Below are 16,820 nucleotides of genomic sequence, written 5' to 3'. Positions count from 1 at the left end.
GAAAATGTCGTATATATACGCCATAGAATATTATGCAGCCATAAAAAGGAACGAGATCATGTCCTTTGCAGGGACATGGATAGAGTTGGAAGACATTATTCTCAGCAAAGTAACGCAGAGACAGAATACCCAAACACCGCATGTTCTCATACGTGGGAGCTGATTGATGAGAACTTATGGACACATGCAAGGGAACAACACATACTGGGGCTGGTGGGGGGCGTTGGCAGAGGGAAAGCATCAGGAAGAAGAGCTAATAGAGACGCTGGGCTTAATACGTAGGTGATGGGATGATCTGTGCGGGTAAACCACTGTGGCACACGTTTACCTATGTAACAAACCTGCACATCCTGCACACGTACCCGAACTTAAAATAGAAAGAAAACAAAAACAATATACAAATTCAGTCCTCAAAACGGATGGAGGGTAATTGATACTGACCCTAGCAATCAGATGACTAAGAACTCCCAAAGGCAGACCACACTCCCAAGAGTGTTTTCTAATGGATTTAGCACAGGTGGCAGCAAAGGATGTTTGTCCTTTGAAAAAGTTGGTGGAAGTGATGGGGGAGTTGGGGTTTAGATTTAGGAATCCCACCCTGTGGACTGCTTAAAAGCTGAGCTAGAATTGAAAAATCAGAAAATAAACTTCCTGTAATGCTGAAGGGGAATTTTCTCCACTTGTAGAGAACATCTTATTAGACATGCAGACGATTTCTCTTCCATTTCTCCGTTCCTCATGCAAAGTGATATTGGAAGCCCACTCAGTGATGAAGCTGGATAAAAGTCTAGGTCCTGGGCCAATCATTAGGTTGCCTGCTCACATTTGGTGTGCTGGTGGTTGGGGGTGGGCAGGGCCCGGGCATAGAGGGAACTGAGATCTACACAAATTGTTAAGATGCAATGGAAGAGGTGCTGCAAGAGAAGTGTGGATAAGGTGGGGCAGGGGAGCTGCTTCTGCAGGAGTGTAAAGCAGCTGAGGCCGTGACTTTTCAACTGGATCTTGAACAGAGGAGAATGAGCAGCAAAGATAAAGAGTATTCCAGAACAAAAAGACAGCATGAACAGGTTGTGGAGGCCATTTGGCTTCAGACAAGTCTAAAGTGAGAAGCCTGGAGAGGTAGGAGGCTTTAGTCACAGAATGCTACTTCCTGGTACAAGACTACAGACAGGTGACATTGCTAAGAAGAACTATACCCTAGGGAACCTCTTCAGCCACATACCTAATTTATTCCTCCCTTCCTCTCTCCCTCTCTTCCTTCCTTCCTTCCATCCTTTACTTTCTTCCTTTTCCTTCCTTCCTTTCCTTCCTTTTTTTTTGAGATGGGGTCTCACTCTGTCACCAAGACTGGAGTGCAATGTCACGACCACCCCTCACTGTAGCCCCGACCTCCCGTGCTCAAGCGATCCTCCTGCTTCAGCCTCCCAAGTAGCTGGGACTACCGGCACGCGCCTCCAAGCCCGGTTAACTTTTGTATTTTTTGTAGAGATGGAATTTCACTATGTTGCCTAGGCTGGTCTCAAGCAATCCTCTGATCCTCCTGCCTTGGCCTCCCAGTGTTGGGATTACAGGCATGAGCCATCATGCCCGGCCTCACATACCTGATTTCTAACCAAAAATTAGACCTTATGCTTTCAAAACCAAATGTTAGAAGGTTTTGTTTTTTGTTTTAGTTGCACATAGAATTTTTAGAATCGTAACATTAAAACCTCAAAAATCAACACCTGAGAAGTTCATCTGTTTTCTCTCTCTCTCTCCATTTAATGAGTTTCTATGATGTGCCAGGTATAGTTTGTGTACTCTCTAATCCTTCAACAGTCCTACAAAGAGATATTTTATCCCCAGGATATAGATGAAGAATCAGGCTCAGTGAAATGAGGCATTTGCCCAAAGTTAAAGAGATGGCGGGGCCGGGCGCAGTGGCTCACGTCTGTAATTCCAGCACTTTGGGAGGCTGAGGTGGGCGGATCGCCTGAGGTCAGGAGTTCGAGACCAGCCTGACCAACATGGAGAAACCCCGTCTCTACTAAAAATACAAAATTTGCCAGGCGTGGTAGTGCATACCTGTAATCCCAGCAACTCGGGAGGCTGAGGCAGGGGAATCGCTTGAACCCAGGAGGCAGAGGTTGCAGTGGGCCGAGATCGCACCACTGCACTCCAGCCTGGGCAACAAGGGTGAAACTCTGCCTCAAAAAAAAAAAAAAAAAAAAAAAAAAGAGACGGTGAGCTGTAGAGATAGGCTTTAAACTCAGGCCTGTTTGTTTCTAAACCCCACCAGTGAGTGTGAGCTACTCTCCAACTCTAATAGAGAGTAAACAAATCTTTAGACTATTTTTCCAAACCATTCACCAGTCCACTTAAATCTTAAATGCATTCTAATTGATGTCATCTGACTATACTCCAGCTGGGCCCAACCCTTATTTTTTTCTTTCTCATCAAACTACTTTTAGCTTCCTCAGTATAAAATTAAGATAGGTCCCCATAGGAAGAAACATTATTTTTTGGTTTTAAAAAGGAAATTGCTACCTAAAGGAGCAACAGAATATTAAAACAGGGTCATGTCTCTGGTTATTCCTCTGAGATCCCAGAAGATGGTATAATTGGCAAAGCAAAACTATTTATATACATTATCATTATTATGTAAGCCATTTTTGATGGTAATATATATGGATACATAAAATGCATACAAATCAATTAAACTACATATTGGGGCAATTTCTGATCTGGGGAAATTACAATCTTTTTATAAACTCAAAAAAAAGTCAAAATCATTAGCAGTCCTCAGTTGTGCTGTGTCACTTTATGACTTTCAGCAACTAAGCCTGTTATTCCATAACAAAACATAGATGCCATGAGATCTATCAGGGTTTATATTTAAGGTGTCATGGGTATAAATTCAGGAAAGAATACAGACGGTCCCTGACTTATGAGAGTTCAACATATATATATATATATATATTTTTTTTTTTTTTTTTTTTTTTTTTTTTTGAGACGGAGTCTCACTCTTGTCGCCCAGGCCAGAGTGCAATGGTGCGATCTCAGCTCACTGCAACCTCTGCATCCCAGGTTCAAGCGATTCTCCTGCCTCAGCCTCCCGAGTAGCTGGGATTACAGGCGTGCACCACCATGCCTGGCTAATTTTTGCCTTTTTAGTAGAGACGGGGTTTCATCACGTTGGCCAGGCTGGTCTCGAACTGCTGACCTCAGGTGATCTGCCCACCTCAGCTGCCCAAAGTGCTAGGATTACATGCGTGAGCCACTGCGCCTGGCCTCAACTTATAATTTTTTTTACCTTATGATGTGTGAAAGCCATGAGCATTTAAGTAGAAACCATATTTTGACTTTTGAATGTTGGTCTTTTCCCAGGCTAACGAGGTGCGGTAGGATACTCTCTCATGATGCTAGCAGTGGCAGGCCACCCCAGCTCCCGGTCAGCTATGAGATCATGAGGGTAAACAACTGAGACTGTACTCTATAGTGCACTGTATTCAAGAAATCACATGACATAGACACCACTTTATTATAAAATAGGCTTTGTGTAAGATGATTTTGCCCATCGGTAGGCTAACAATGTAAGTGTTCTGAGCATGTTTAAGGGAGGCTAGGCTAAGCTAGGATATTTGGTAGATTAGGTACATTAAATGCATTTTCTTTCGTTTTCTTTGTTTTGTTTTTTTTTTTTTTTTTTTTTTTTTTTTGCGGCAGAATCTCCCTCTTGCCCAGGTTGGAGTGCAGTGGCACAATCTCGGCTCACTGCAACCTCCGCCTCCCGGGTTTAAGCGATTCCCCTGCTTCAGCCTCCCAAATAGCTGGGATTACAGGTGCCCGCCACCACGCCCGGCTAATTTTTGTATTTTTAGTAGAGACAGGGTTTCACCATGTTGGCCAGGATGGTCTCAAACTTCTGACCTCTAGTGATCCACCTGCCTCGGCCTCCCAAAGTGCTGGGATTACAGGCGTTAGCCACCCCACGTGGCCATTAAATGCATTTTTGATTTATGGTATTTTCCACTTGCGATGAGTTTCTTGGGATGTAACCCCGCTGTAAGTCGAAGAGCATCTGTAGTCTAACTTAGCTGGGAAGGAGGAAGAAGAAAGTAAGGATAGAGTGTGAGCCACAGAATGCCCGAAGAACAAACTCAGTGATCAGTGAAGAGGGAAGACAATGGTTAGCAAAGATAAGATCACTTGCAGATTAAACTCTTCCTTTCTTCTTCTAGGGAAGTGATTAATGCCATTGTTTTCTTGATAATCTACCTATTTAAAAAATGAAGTCTGTCAGGCCATTTACCACCTTCCTAAGAAACTGTTTCCCTGAGAAGAACTCACAGGTGGCCGAGAGTGGTGGCTCACACCTGTAATCCCAGCACTTTGGGAAGCTGAGGTGGGCAGACCACCAGGTCAGGAGTTCGAGACCAGCCTGGCCAACATGGTGAAACCCCATCTCTACTAAAGAGGCAAAAATTAGCCAGGCGTGGTGGCGGGCGCCTGTAGTCCCAGCTACTCAGGAGGCTGAGGTAGTAGAATCGCCTGAACCCGGGAAGCAGAGGTTGTAGTCCCAGGTACTCGGGAGGCTGAGGCAGGAGAATTACTTGAACCCAGGAAACGGAGGTTGCAGTGAGCCGAGATTGCGCCACTGTACTCCAGCCTGGGTGACAGAGTGAGACTCCATCTCAAAAAAAAAAAAAAAGGAACTCACAGGTGTCCCAACTCTCTGATTTCCTTTTCTAGAAGTTGACAAGAGACCGGGCACGGTAGCTCACGCCTATAATCCCAACACTTTTGGAGGCTGAGGTGGGTGGATCACGAGGTCAAGAGATCAACACCATCCTGGCCAACATGGTGAAACCCCGTCTCTACTAAATATACAAAAAATTAGCCGGGCACAGTGGTGGGCGCCTGTAGTCCCAGCTACTCGGGAGGCTGAGGCAGGAGAATGGCGTGAACCCGGGAGGAGAACTTGCAGTGAGCTGAGATCACGCCACTGCACTCCAGCCTGGGCAACAGAGCAAGACTGTCTCAAAAAAAAAAAAGAAGAAGTTGACAAAAACCGATATTTCTGGCAGATATAAAAAAACAGAGATTGCTTAAGCGGAGCTAATAGTAAAAATCCCCAAATCTTCCTCCCCTTCAAGTCTGTCCATTCGCCTAGCATCTCAGAAGCTCTGTGTGCTCGATTGGTTTGGGGAATATCAATTCCCTCTGCACACAGTAAGATCCCAGCCACATCCCTGGGGCTCAAGGATGAGTTCCCAAGACCACCTTGATTCGGATCTGCCCTTCTCTGCTCCCAAATTTGCATCTCTCAAGGTCTCGGCACCTGGAACCTCAGCATTGCATTTTTACATATAGAGGAACTAACGGGATATATCAGCCTCAAACAGTGACAAAGAGTAAGGCCAGTATGGACTCTACAGGAAATAGAAATACAATGAGCCACCCACATTTAGGGTTCAGGGGAAGATGCCTGCCATGGAATATCCAATAGGGCTAGTCCGCAGGCTGGCTCCAGGGGAAAAACAAATTGGAAGCAGGGAGGGTCTGTCTTTCGGGCCCTCAATCACCCACCAGGTATCTTCCTTTCTCTATTCCTTCCCCTTTGGACACCTTGGCACTCCTTCCTCCCACCGCCCACAAAGCCTGCTCCCAGGAAAGGCTGTTTTTGCATTCATTCCTATTTTAATGTGAGTTTGAAACAAACTCCCATGGAGTTATATTCAAAATACTCCTTTGTAGCAAGTGAAACAGAAATCACTGGTCAGTTTTGAAATGTGTAAAATTCAAGGCACACATGACCAATGGAATAAACTCACTGAATGTCCCTATTACAGGCAGAGCCATCCAACCCAGAGGATCAATAATAACTCAGGAGGAAAGTGGGAGGTGGATGAACTTGCATCTTGGGCTTATAAATGGAAATCATCCACAGCTGAATCACACAAGAAACTAAAAGGCATGCCATCTTGTTGTGGACCAGATTAAGGGTAAAAGACGGAAGTGGGGAGAGGAAAAAGGGAGGGCAGGAAGCCCTAATTTCATAACAGCTAGTGAGGCTTCTTGGACATCTTTAAAGCCATATGTGAACCCCCTTTCTGTAACACTGTTCTCCTCATGGGCACCTTCACCTGAGCAGGCCATGCAGAGAGTCTTATCCTCTGAGAGGCCTCCAGAGGACCTGCTGGATGGACCATGTTTTTGTCTGTTTTTGTTTTTGAGATGGAGTCTCGCTCTGTCACCCAGGCTGAAGTGCAGTGGCGCGATCTCGGCTCATTGCAACCTCCGCCTCCCAGGTTCAAGCGATTCTCCTGCCTCAGCCTCCTGAGTAGCTGGGGTTACAGGCATGCACCACCACACCCGGTTAATTTTTGCATTTTTAGTAGAAACGGGGTTTCATCATGTTGGCCAGGCTAGCCTCAAACTTCTGACCTCAGGTGATCCGCCCACCTCAGCTTCCCAAAGAGCTGGGATTACAGGCGTGAGCCACTGTGCCCGGACCCATGTTTTGTTTTGCTTGCTTATTTATTTATCCATTTTTTGAGACAGAGTCTCACTCTGTTGCCCAGTCTGAGGGTAGTGGTGCTATTGCAGCTCACTGTGCCCTTGACCTCCTGGGCTCAAGTGATCCTCCTGCCTCAACTTCTCCAGCAGCTGAGACTACAGTGCATGCCACCACGCCTGACTATTTTTTGATTTTTTTTTGTAGAGACAAGGTATCTGTGTTACCCAAGCTTTGCTTTTTTAAACCACATGACCCTGCCACCCTGGTCACAGCTGATTGGACAACTTGGGGCTACATAAAGGGCAGCTGCCTGCAAAGACGTCAGCCGCAGCCTGAGAGGTGGTGTGGAATGAGAACGGGGATCCTCATTGTTTAATACAATGGCTGCATGACCCAAGGCAGGACTCTCTGGGGACATCTGAATGGGACACAGAGAGCACTTGCTGTCAAGAGAGCAGCATGGGCCAGGCACAGTGGCTCACGCCTGTAATCCCAGCATTTTGGGAGGCCAAGGCAGGTGGATCACCTGAGGTCAGAAGACTAGCCTGGCCAACATGGTGAAACCCCGTCTCTACTAAAAATGCAAAAATTAGCCAAGCGTGGTGTCATGCACCTGTAATCCCTGGTGCTGCGGAGGCTGAGACAGGAGAATTGCTTGAACCCAGGAGGAGGAGGTTGCAGTGAGCCAAGATGACATCACTGCACTCCAGCCTGGGTGACAGAGCGAGACTCCATCTTAAAAAAAAAAAAAAAAAAGAGCAGCATGGAATCTGGCAGATACCAGGGGAAGACATAGGAAGTAGAACCCACAGGGTGGAGGAGCCCATAAACCAGGGGAAGTGCTGAAGCACAGGCAAGAATTTCAAATAAAGTAGAAGCAGGCAAAGCAAAACCAGCAGAGGTGGAGACTCTGCGACATGAGGACGGCCAACGTCTCGGTGCTGCTAGGGCGGCAGAGCCTGACCACTGCACCAGCAATGAGGATGCGTGGTCCACCTCCCCTGCCTGTGGTCGCAGCCACAGGCCACAAGTAAAAGTGATGTTTCAAACTGAGTTAAATAAAATACATTCTTTTTTTTTTTTTTTTTTTTTTTTTTGAGACAGAGTCTTGCTCTGTCACCCAGGCTGGAGTACAGTGGCATGATCTCAACTCACCACAACCTCTGCCTCCTGGTTCTCCTAAATCGCTGAAGCGATTCTCCTGCTTCAGTCTCCCGAGTAGCTGGGGTTACAGGCACAAGCTACCACGCCTGGCTAGTTTTTTGTATTTTTAGTAGAGTTGGGGTTTCACCATGTTGGCCAGGCTGGTCTCAAACTCCTGACCTCAAGTGATCCGCCCACCTCGGCTCCCCAAAGTGCTGGGATTACAGGCGAGAGCCACCACACCTGGCATAAAATACATTCTTTAAATTCATATTATCTGCTTCTTTTTACTTCTTTTAATGTGGCTCCTGGAAAATCTAAAATTTGATTTTAGATCTATGGCTCCCATTATAGCATTCCTATTGGGCAGTGCTGTTCTCCCTTCCCATGAGACCACTTCAGCTGTGAGATGTTTTTCTGGACTAATTTTTTTTTAAATTTTTATTTCTGAGATGGAGTCTCACTCTGTCGCCCAGACGCGAGTGCAGTGGCAGGATCTTGGCTCACTGCAACCTCCGCCTCCCAGGCTGAAGTGATTCTCCTGCTTCAGCCTCCCGAGTAGCTGGGATTACAGGCACGTGCCACCACACCCGGCTAATTTTTGTATTTTTAGTAGAGATAGGTTTCACCATGTTGGCCAGGCTGGTCTTGAACTCCTGACTTCAGGCGATCCACCCAGCTCAGCCTCCCAAAGTGCTGGGATTACAGGCGTGAGCCACCACACCTGGCCTGGACTAGTTACTTTACAGAATCCTAATCATAATCCCTCAATCATGACAATGAATTGGAACAATCTCAAAATGTCCCTCGCACACCTGCCAAAAAAAAAAAAAAAAAAAAGCAAAAACCACAACATATACACATCAACCAGAAGGACCCTTACAACGGAAAATGGCTCAGATCTCCACATAGCCGGAATAATAATTAAACAAGACAACCCTTAGGTTTCTAATTCCCTAACCTCCTACATTCAGCCCTGCCTCAGGTCAGGAAAGAGTTGGCAGGGCTTGCCCGATGTGGTGGCTCACGAGGCTGAGGCAGGAGGATCGCTTGGGCCCAGGAGTTCAAGACCAGCACTGGCAACACAGCAGGACCTCGTCTCTACAAAAGTTAAAGTTAGCCAGGCATGGGGGCACATGCCTGTAGTCCCAGCCTCTTGGAAGGCTTGAGCCTGGGAGGTCAAGACCAGCACGGGCTGGGTGCTGTGTGGCTCACACCTGTAATCCCAGCACTTTGGGAGGTTGAGGCCGTGAGCCGTGATTGTGCCACTGCACTCCAGCCTGGATGACAGAGTGAGATCCAAAAAAAGAAAAAAAAGAGTTGGCAGAGCTGGTCAGGGTCCTCCGGCAGTGTTCCTCCACACACATAACACAGAAATGACTTCAGGGGCTAACTTTTGTTAAGTTTCTGAAAAACATGAATTGGTGCATTTGTTTTCTATTGCTTTGCCAATCTGTTACTGCTAACACGGGGTGTAAAAATCCAGCTCCAATAGATACATCGAGTCGAGAAGTCAGGGGGTTTCCCTTAAGTTTCTGTTGAGTCCCCTGATTAGGATCACAGACTCTGAGAGTGGGAAGGGACTCGGAGGCCATCCGGTCCAATCCTTGAGGTTTCCTCAGCAGCACTTCCCCAGCCCTGCTTCCCTTGGCTTTGCTCACCATTGAGGAAGCTGCCCGTTTTATTCCCAGCTCCATGTGTTCTCATCTCCCACCCGCTGGCCCTAGATTCTACTTCCAAAACGACAGAGTTGGTCTAATTTCTCTTTCCTGAGCAAATCTTTTAATTAGGTAAAGACACCGATCCCTCTTCAAGTCTTTTCCAAATCAATTATCCTTTTTCTTTGTCTTGGTCTTCTCTAAAAAAAAAAAAAAAAAAAAGTGGGGATTGGCCTTTTTACCTCCCTGGCTGCTCTCTTTGGAACTGCTGTGTCAATGTCTCCCCGTATAGTAGGGTGGCCAGACCTGAAGAGTCTACATCCTACTCCAAGCACATGGGAGAGAAGTGAGGCTTTCACTTCCCTTACTCTGGACACTACAATTCTATTTAAACAGCTCTGTGCTTTCCCCACCAGACTTTCCTGAGCCCTAATTTCTTTTGATCACTATACTTCCCCTTCTGGCTCTGAGAAAATCACAGACTTAAAGAGAATTCTAAGCCTATGAAGCTTTGTATGCCAATATCTAAAACAAGCACCTGCAATGGTTTACACCCCTGGCTGTACATGAGAATCACTTGGAAGCTGTACAAATATCAATAGTTAGGTCTTGCCCCAAGGAGGGAAACAGGCCCTGGCTTAGTTATTTTTAGAAGCCCCAGATGATCGTAATGTGCATCCAGGGTTGAACCAGCAATCCAAAGAAACCAGGACTGTGATCTTCATACAGGTTCCAGTTACTTTTTCCTTTGAACTGCAAATATGAATTCTTATTTTGAATTGAACTAGCAGGACTAAATTGGTTCACTATAAACAACTTGAGATTATTCAAAAATCATTTGGAACTTGGACCAAAGGAGAGATGGAATTGATTTAGCAACAATTGAGACCTTATTGAAAGTCAACCTAAAAAGAACATCAGGCTTAGGAGACCTGGTTTATAATTGGTGCATTTGCTTACTAGCTGTGGGATTTGAGCACATCATGTAATCACATTGAAGTTTCTTCATCTATAAAATGGAGGTACTAGTCTAGAAATCTTTTTTTTTTTTTTTTTGAGACAGAGTCTCCGCTGGAGTGCGATGACGTGATCTTGGCTCACTGCAACCTCCGCCTCCTGGGTTCAAGCGATTCTACTGCCTCAGCCTTCTGAGAAGCTGGGATTACAGGCATGCGCCACCACGCCTGGCTAATTTTTGGTATTTTTAGTAGAGACGGGGTTTCACCATGTTGGCCAGGCTGGTCTCGAACTCCTGACCTTGTGATCCGCCCACTTCAGCCTCCCAAAGTGCTGGGATTACAGGTGTGAGCCACTGCGCTCAGCCTAGAAATCTTTAAGGTGCAATAAGGTTTTTTTGTTTGTTTGTTTGTTTTAACTTCTTGAAAAAAAATAGAGACAGTGTCTCACTATGTTGCCCAGGCTGGTCTCAAACTCCTGGCTTCAAGAGATCCTCCTGCCTCAGCCTTCCAAAGCGCTGGGATTACAGGCGTGAGCCACCATGCCTGGCCATGCTTTAGATTTTTGATTCAAGACCAGAAAAGAGCTTGCAAATAAAAAATTTGAAAGTTGTATCTTGCTCCCATTTCAAAAGGATGGGAGCTTCAACAGAGACAAAAATATTATGAAATCTTCAAATTGTCATTCAAATTTTATTTATAATACATATTCCTGATTTTAAATGCGTTGCGCTTAAAGGAGAATAAGGTTTACATTTTATTTATTTATTTATTTAGAGATGGAGTCTCGATCTGTCACCCAGGCTGGAGTGCAGTGGCACAATCTTGGCTCATTGCAACCTCCGCCCCTTGGGTTCAAGCGATTCTCCTGCCTCAGCCTCTCCAGTAGCTGGGATTGCAGGCATGCACCACCACGCCTGGCTAATTTTTTTAGTATTTTTAGTAGATACAGGTTTTCACCATGTTGGTCAGGCTGCTCTCAAACTCCTGACCTCAAGTGATCCACCTGCCTCCGCCTCCCAAAGTGCTGTGATTACAGGCTTGAGCCACTGTGCTCGGTCACGTTTTTATTTATATGGCCAGTGTTCCTTCGGTCTTTTGTCCTGTGAACAGAGCGGTTCACAAGAGTGGGTGATATAACACATCTCCATTTTACCATTTTACAGATGAAATTTTTTTTTTAATTTGACATTTAAAACCGTAAAGAAGTTTGTCCCATTTTTTCCACTCTTTTCAAAGCAACTTATTTAGTATTGACCATGCAGTGTTTATTCGTAAAAATAAAAGTTAAGAGACGTACATACCGGGAATCCTGTTGAGTGTCACCCAGAAATGTTCGTCGGGGCTGTAGGTGTCCTTGGACCAGGAGAGTAAGTCAAGTGCGAGCTGGTCTTGGAGGACGAAGTTAGCAAAGTCCCTTGTGAGAGCCACGTAGGCCGTGCCAAAGTAAATCACCATGTCATGAGGAGGAGGAGTTTTTAATTTTGTTGTTTTAATCACGTAGGAATTTTTGTGGTTTAACAGTTCTTGGTGGACGTATTTAGTCCGTCCAACAGCGTGGTCAGGAGGCAGCACTCCGGGGGTGATATTTTTCCCTTTAAATCCCTTCAGATACTGAACTATTTCCCTGTTGGTTTTCAGGGGAAAGTCTTGCCCGCAGGTGTTGATGACATACTTCCAGGGAACTTCAGAGGCCACAAGGTCTTCCAGGCAGTTCAGGTCAGCCTGGAGCCTGGAGATCCCCCCATAGACAACCGACTCCTTCTTGGAAGCCAGAAAAGCATTTGGGAAGCAGCTGAGTAACTGTTTCACTGCACCTTTAAAGGCATCCGTCGCCTTCTGATCCAGGTGCACACAGTAGACATTTTGGGGCATATAAATCGCCCTGAAGAGCCTCTCAAAAGTGCCGAAGTCTTTGTGGATGGTCACTGTGTAAGCTAAAGGGAACCCAGCCTCTTCTTCAGAGAGTGTTTCTGTTACATAGTGGCTTCGAACCATGTACTCATAGCAGGTAGCTTCATCAAGGGTAGTTTTCAATGCATTTTCTGTTGGGTAAAAAACTTTCCCCTCAAAAATCTGATGACAGGCTTCTGCTAACAGTGAAGCATTGGACAGAGCTGCCCTCAGAAAACGTTTATTCTCCCATAACTCAGTATTGTAAACAAATACAAAAATCAGGGCAGAGATAAGAGACGCGCTAAAAAGACAGTGCTTCCAAGAGCCCATCATTCACAACCAGGAAATGAGTAAAATATCTCTCTCTTGAGATAGGATCAGAGTGTAGATATATTTAACTTACATTTTCTCCAGGTTCCGAAATCATCCTCGTGATGGCTGAAGCTCTCGTCTGGCTGTTCCCTGTCCCTTCAGTTCACGGTTCTGGTCCTTTTTCTTTCTTCTTCCCCTCTTCACTTACCACTAGGTTGCATTTTCACTTTTCTGTGACACATTTCTGAAGTGGCTCCTTTGCATTTGGCTTGCCTGTTCTCCTGCTAACCTGCAACCTGTGTCTACACAAAAACAGATGTCCTCAGAGAGGTTCTGATTCCAGGGGGTCCACCTGTTCCCACCATGAAATTACAAGTGGGTGAGGTGACCATTCTGCAAGTCATCGGCTCTAAGACCTTAACCTCAGCCTCTTGTCCCGGCCAGAGTCTAGTAACTATGTCCCCTCCCCTGCTTCCTGTTAATCATTGTGTTCAACAGCCTGAGTTTATTTGCTTAAACTGCACTGCCAAGCTACGAGCTTCAGTTTAAAGCATGTGAATACTGCCTGGAGAGATATTCTATCAATAAATATGTAGTGCTTTAAAAAAATTGCTTAACCCTGTCTTTTTCCACAGCCACACCTCGCTCTCCCCATTGGCTGGGTATGCTATACGACATGGCATATGACTGGCTACTGGGCTAAATTCTTTCCAGGGCTTAATTTTGTCTGCTGCTGGGTAAAGTCCTTTAAAATGCCCATTAATTAGCAAGCTTACCTCACCACCTAACTTACTGCACAAAGTGACTGTGGCACTCGGATGAATAAAGGCTAACTTCTTTTTTTAAAACAACAAAACGACCAATAGCCCATCATCACCCAAAATTGCATACAGGCTAACATAGTGAATTTCAAGTTTATTTTGCCCTGGTCCGCATAGGATGCAGACAGAGAACCCTGATGCTTAGAGGAAGGAGAGAAGAGCATCTCAGTCTTGAATTTTAGGAGAGAGGCTCTTATGTCCAGATTTACAAATGCTTTAAAGGAGGCTTTTTTTTTAATCTGTAAAAAATGAGAATAATTTTACCACCAGAGGTCAATTGTGAGAATAAAATGAGATAACATATACAGAGTCCATCGCCGTGTCCAGGAACAGATTGGGGTGGTAAAGCAGCAGCAAAATGGTACTAAACAAGAAGTCCGTTCACACACACGCATGCATACACACGTATCTCTTACCCCACACTCATACTTCTAATAAATGACACAATTACCTCTCCTTTGAAATCTTCTTACTCTTCCCTTACTCCCTCCTCTGTGAGTCCATGCCAATCAGATTATACATCTAAAACGTCAGCGACGAGTTTTGTATGATGTGGTGGTTAGCTGCACCCGGTGTGAAAGCATGTTCCATTGGCGCCGAGCTCATGTATTCCTCATGTTTCTGGCTCCTAGCATTGTCTGTATGTAGTAGACAAGCAACTTTTTATTTTATTTTATTTATTTATTGAAACGGAGTTTCGCTCTCGTTGCCCAGGCTGGAGTGCAATGGCACGATCTCGGCTCACTGAAATCTCTGCCTCCCAGGTTCAAGCGATTCTCCTGCCTCAGCCTCCCAAGTAGCTGGAATTACAGACACCTGCCACCATGCCTGGCTAATTTTTGTATTTTTAGTAGAGACGGGGTTTCACCATTTTTGAGCAGGCTGGTTTCAAACGCCTGACCTCAGGTGATCCACCCGCCTCGGCCTCCCAAAGTGCTGGGATTACAGGCGCGAGCCACCGCACAATCAACTATTTATTGATTGAATGCTCAAGTTTTCATTTCCCTGCTTCCCTGATCACATTAGTGAGAAATTCCAGGTAATACTGATTTGTAGGAGATATATATTTGTATCTGTGAATGTGGTACAGTCAATAAACCTAATTTTTCCAATGTATCTTCTAACTTTTATTAAATGTAATTAATTAATTAATTTACTCTTTTGTAGAGATGGGGGTCTTACTGTGTTGCCCAGGCTGGTCTTGAACTCCTCAAGCTATCCTCCTACCTCAGGGTCCCAAAGCTTTAGGATGACAGCTGTGAGCCACTGCACCTGGCTCATTTTCTTAATCACAAAGACGACATAATATCGTAGATAGTTTCTAAACACAATGTTTCCACGTCCTGTACTTTCATTTACCTCTTGCCTATAGGAAATACACATTCTTATTTTATCAAGAACACAGGGGAGGCTGGGTGCAGTGGCTCACGCCTGTAATCTCAGCACTTTTGGGAGGCCAAGGCGGGAGGAGCTCGAGGCCAGGAGTTTGAGACCTGCCTAGGCAACACAGCCAGGCCCCATCTCTAATAAAAAAAAAAGAACGCAGGAAGATGCAAGCTTAAATCCTGCATTCTGCACTTACTATTATACAATAACATTTTCCATAGTGCTTCTTGGTGTGCCTTGGGTATTATCTTCACAATCACTACTTTAGAACCTGGAGTTATTCCTGTTGATTTTTCCGCTAACCCAGCTAAAAGCGAACACATTGAGACGGCAGCCAACCCCATTTCACGGTGTCAGGAACACAGGAAATGATGACAAGAAAGGACACAGGGAAAATTCTCTAGAACACAGTGAGTCAGTTCTCAGTTGCTTCTGGAATCAGATTCTACAGCGTGACTCAGGTACACCCAGTTGTGCCTATAGGGCCCCCAAAATAGAATTTAATCAACCCAAATATCTATTTTCTTAACTATCTTTCATGCGTCTATCCAGAATTCTTTTGAACAAATCACTTCTTCAATACAGAACGCATACAAAATCAATCTTTTCTGAAATGACTAAAATTTCTCTAATTTTTAGTTGACTTTTAACGTCTCTTTAGACCCTGTCCATATCAAATGAAATACTATAGGAATGATTAAATGAAAATGTCAATGCTGAATTATGCTTATCTAAACTAGTCAAGTAATTTTTACCATATTTTCTCCTAATTTATCCAGACAATTACATCAGGTGTTTGTTTGACTCTTACCTCATTCTTGGCCTAGTTCTATCCCTCCAGACATTGCAGACATAGAAGCATCTTGAATTATTTGCCTGCTCTTCGAATTTACAACTCACTGGATTTAGTTGCAGGGTAACGAACACTTGTATTTTGTGCTCTGCTGCAAGTACAAGCAAAGTTCATACGTCTTTACTTGTACCTTACCTGTAATGCTAAGACGGTCCCTTGATTTTGAGCTCTGGAATATTTATGATTCTGTAAAATAGTATCTTTGACAATGCTAGACATTTAAAAAAAGAATTAATATGAACCTATTTCCTTTTTCATCAACCCAGTGCCAGCTGGTGCATTTTATTTTGGTAGGCACATGGGACACGCTGGTCTTCCAGACCCTCCAGCTTTCCCAATGCCCTTGTACAATCTATCAGTAATCACTCTCCTCAATTCTGGGCTCTAGGCTCTTGCGTTTGTGTGATATAATGGGAGGAGATGGTAATCAGGGAGTGACCAAAAGGACGCGAGATTGTTCATCCCAGGTTGAATTTCAGATCAAAATTAATACCCCCCAATTCTAAGTCGGAGGCACTGATCAGGTGGGATAAATAAAGAGTTCTGAACAAATTGGGAACCAGCAAAGACTTATAGTTTGGTTGCTCAATAACTGGCAGGGTGTATATTATGTTCAATCACTAATTGCTTATTTCTCCATAACACATACTCTTATAAATTCTCACTCTCCAGGATGTAAACTAATTTTCATTGCACTAAGACACTGCACTTAGAGTTTAATCTCAATAACTGACTGTAGAAAGAGAAGCAGAAAAAAAGGGGTTCCTTTCTACAGACAAGAATCCCATCATCCTCACCTTAATTATTCATGGACCATATGATGCCCAAAGCACTTTTCACATATTCATTTTACCATGACATCACCTGTGTGCCCAAATTAGAAACCGGGGGGGTGGGCCGATGGAAACTTTCTCAGTGTCTGTGAAAGCCTGATGCAGTCTCAGAGGAAGAACAGCTTGGATTAAACTGGTTTTTAATCTGAAGGGCAACACATTTTGTCCTTTTTCTTTTCTTTCTTTCCTTTTCTTTTTTTTGGGGGGTGGGGGACAGAGTTTTGCTTTTGTGACTCAGGCTGGAGTGCAACGGCACAATCTCAGCTCATTGCAACCTCGGCCTCCCAGGTTCAAGTGATTCTCCTGCCTCAGCCTCCCAAGTAGCTGGGCTTACAGGTATGCACCACCATGCCTGGCTAATTTTTGTATCATTTTGTCCTTTTTCAAAAAGACAACCTTTTCCTGTCCTCCTCTCTGCCTGCTCTTTCTTATTTATGTGTTTTCTCTTGACAAGTTCGGTACC

At 44.7% G+C, this 16,820-nt stretch overlaps 1 protein-coding gene across 9 annotated transcripts in view, besides 2 other annotated features; it reads right to left on the bottom strand.

Moving 5' to 3' along the window:
• GCNT2 (glucosaminyl (N-acetyl) transferase 2 (I blood group)) overlaps nucleotides 1-16,820 on the bottom strand; it is a 108,018-nt gene that overhangs the window by 87,972 nt on the left and 3,226 nt on the right. For 5 of the 9 annotated variants that reach the window (XR_926136.3, XR_002956275.2, XM_006715052.4 and 2 more), the window contains exons 2-3: nucleotides 13,737-13,923; nucleotides 11,561-12,766 (exon numbers count right to left, since the gene is read on the bottom strand). Coding sequence is in view for 7 of the 9 variants with exons in the window: in XM_006715052.4 (XP_006715115.1) it covers nucleotides 11,561-12,485 (925 nt within the window). In the remaining 2 variants the exon portion in view is untranslated. Of the gene's footprint in view, nucleotides 1-10,929; nucleotides 11,360-11,560; nucleotides 13,028-13,736; nucleotides 13,924-16,820 lie in introns of those variants that run through there. The other 4 variants (XM_047418633.1, XM_005248999.3, XM_011514468.4 and 1 more) reach the window with 3 other exon arrangements.
• Nucleotides 6,696-7,025: an enhancer, noted in NCBI's record as "active region_23969". NCBI's record gives its function as "activates an Ori minimal core promoter by ATAC-STARR-seq in GM12878 lymphoblastoid cells {active_cell/tissue: GM12878}" and the evidence as "EXISTENCE:reporter gene assay evidence [ECO:0000049][PMID:35858748]".
• Nucleotides 7,146-7,395: an enhancer, noted in NCBI's record as "active region_23968". NCBI's record gives its function as "activates an Ori minimal core promoter by ATAC-STARR-seq in GM12878 lymphoblastoid cells {active_cell/tissue: GM12878}" and the evidence as "EXISTENCE:reporter gene assay evidence [ECO:0000049][PMID:35858748]".

Source organism: Homo sapiens, chromosome 6, assembly GCF_000001405.40.
Source record: "Homo sapiens chromosome 6, GRCh38.p14 Primary Assembly".
NCBI classification, from domain to species: domain Eukaryota; kingdom Metazoa; phylum Chordata; class Mammalia; order Primates; family Hominidae; genus Homo; species Homo sapiens.
Note: the sequence above shows the minus strand (reverse complement) of the source record. Positions and strands in the feature narration are given on the sequence as shown.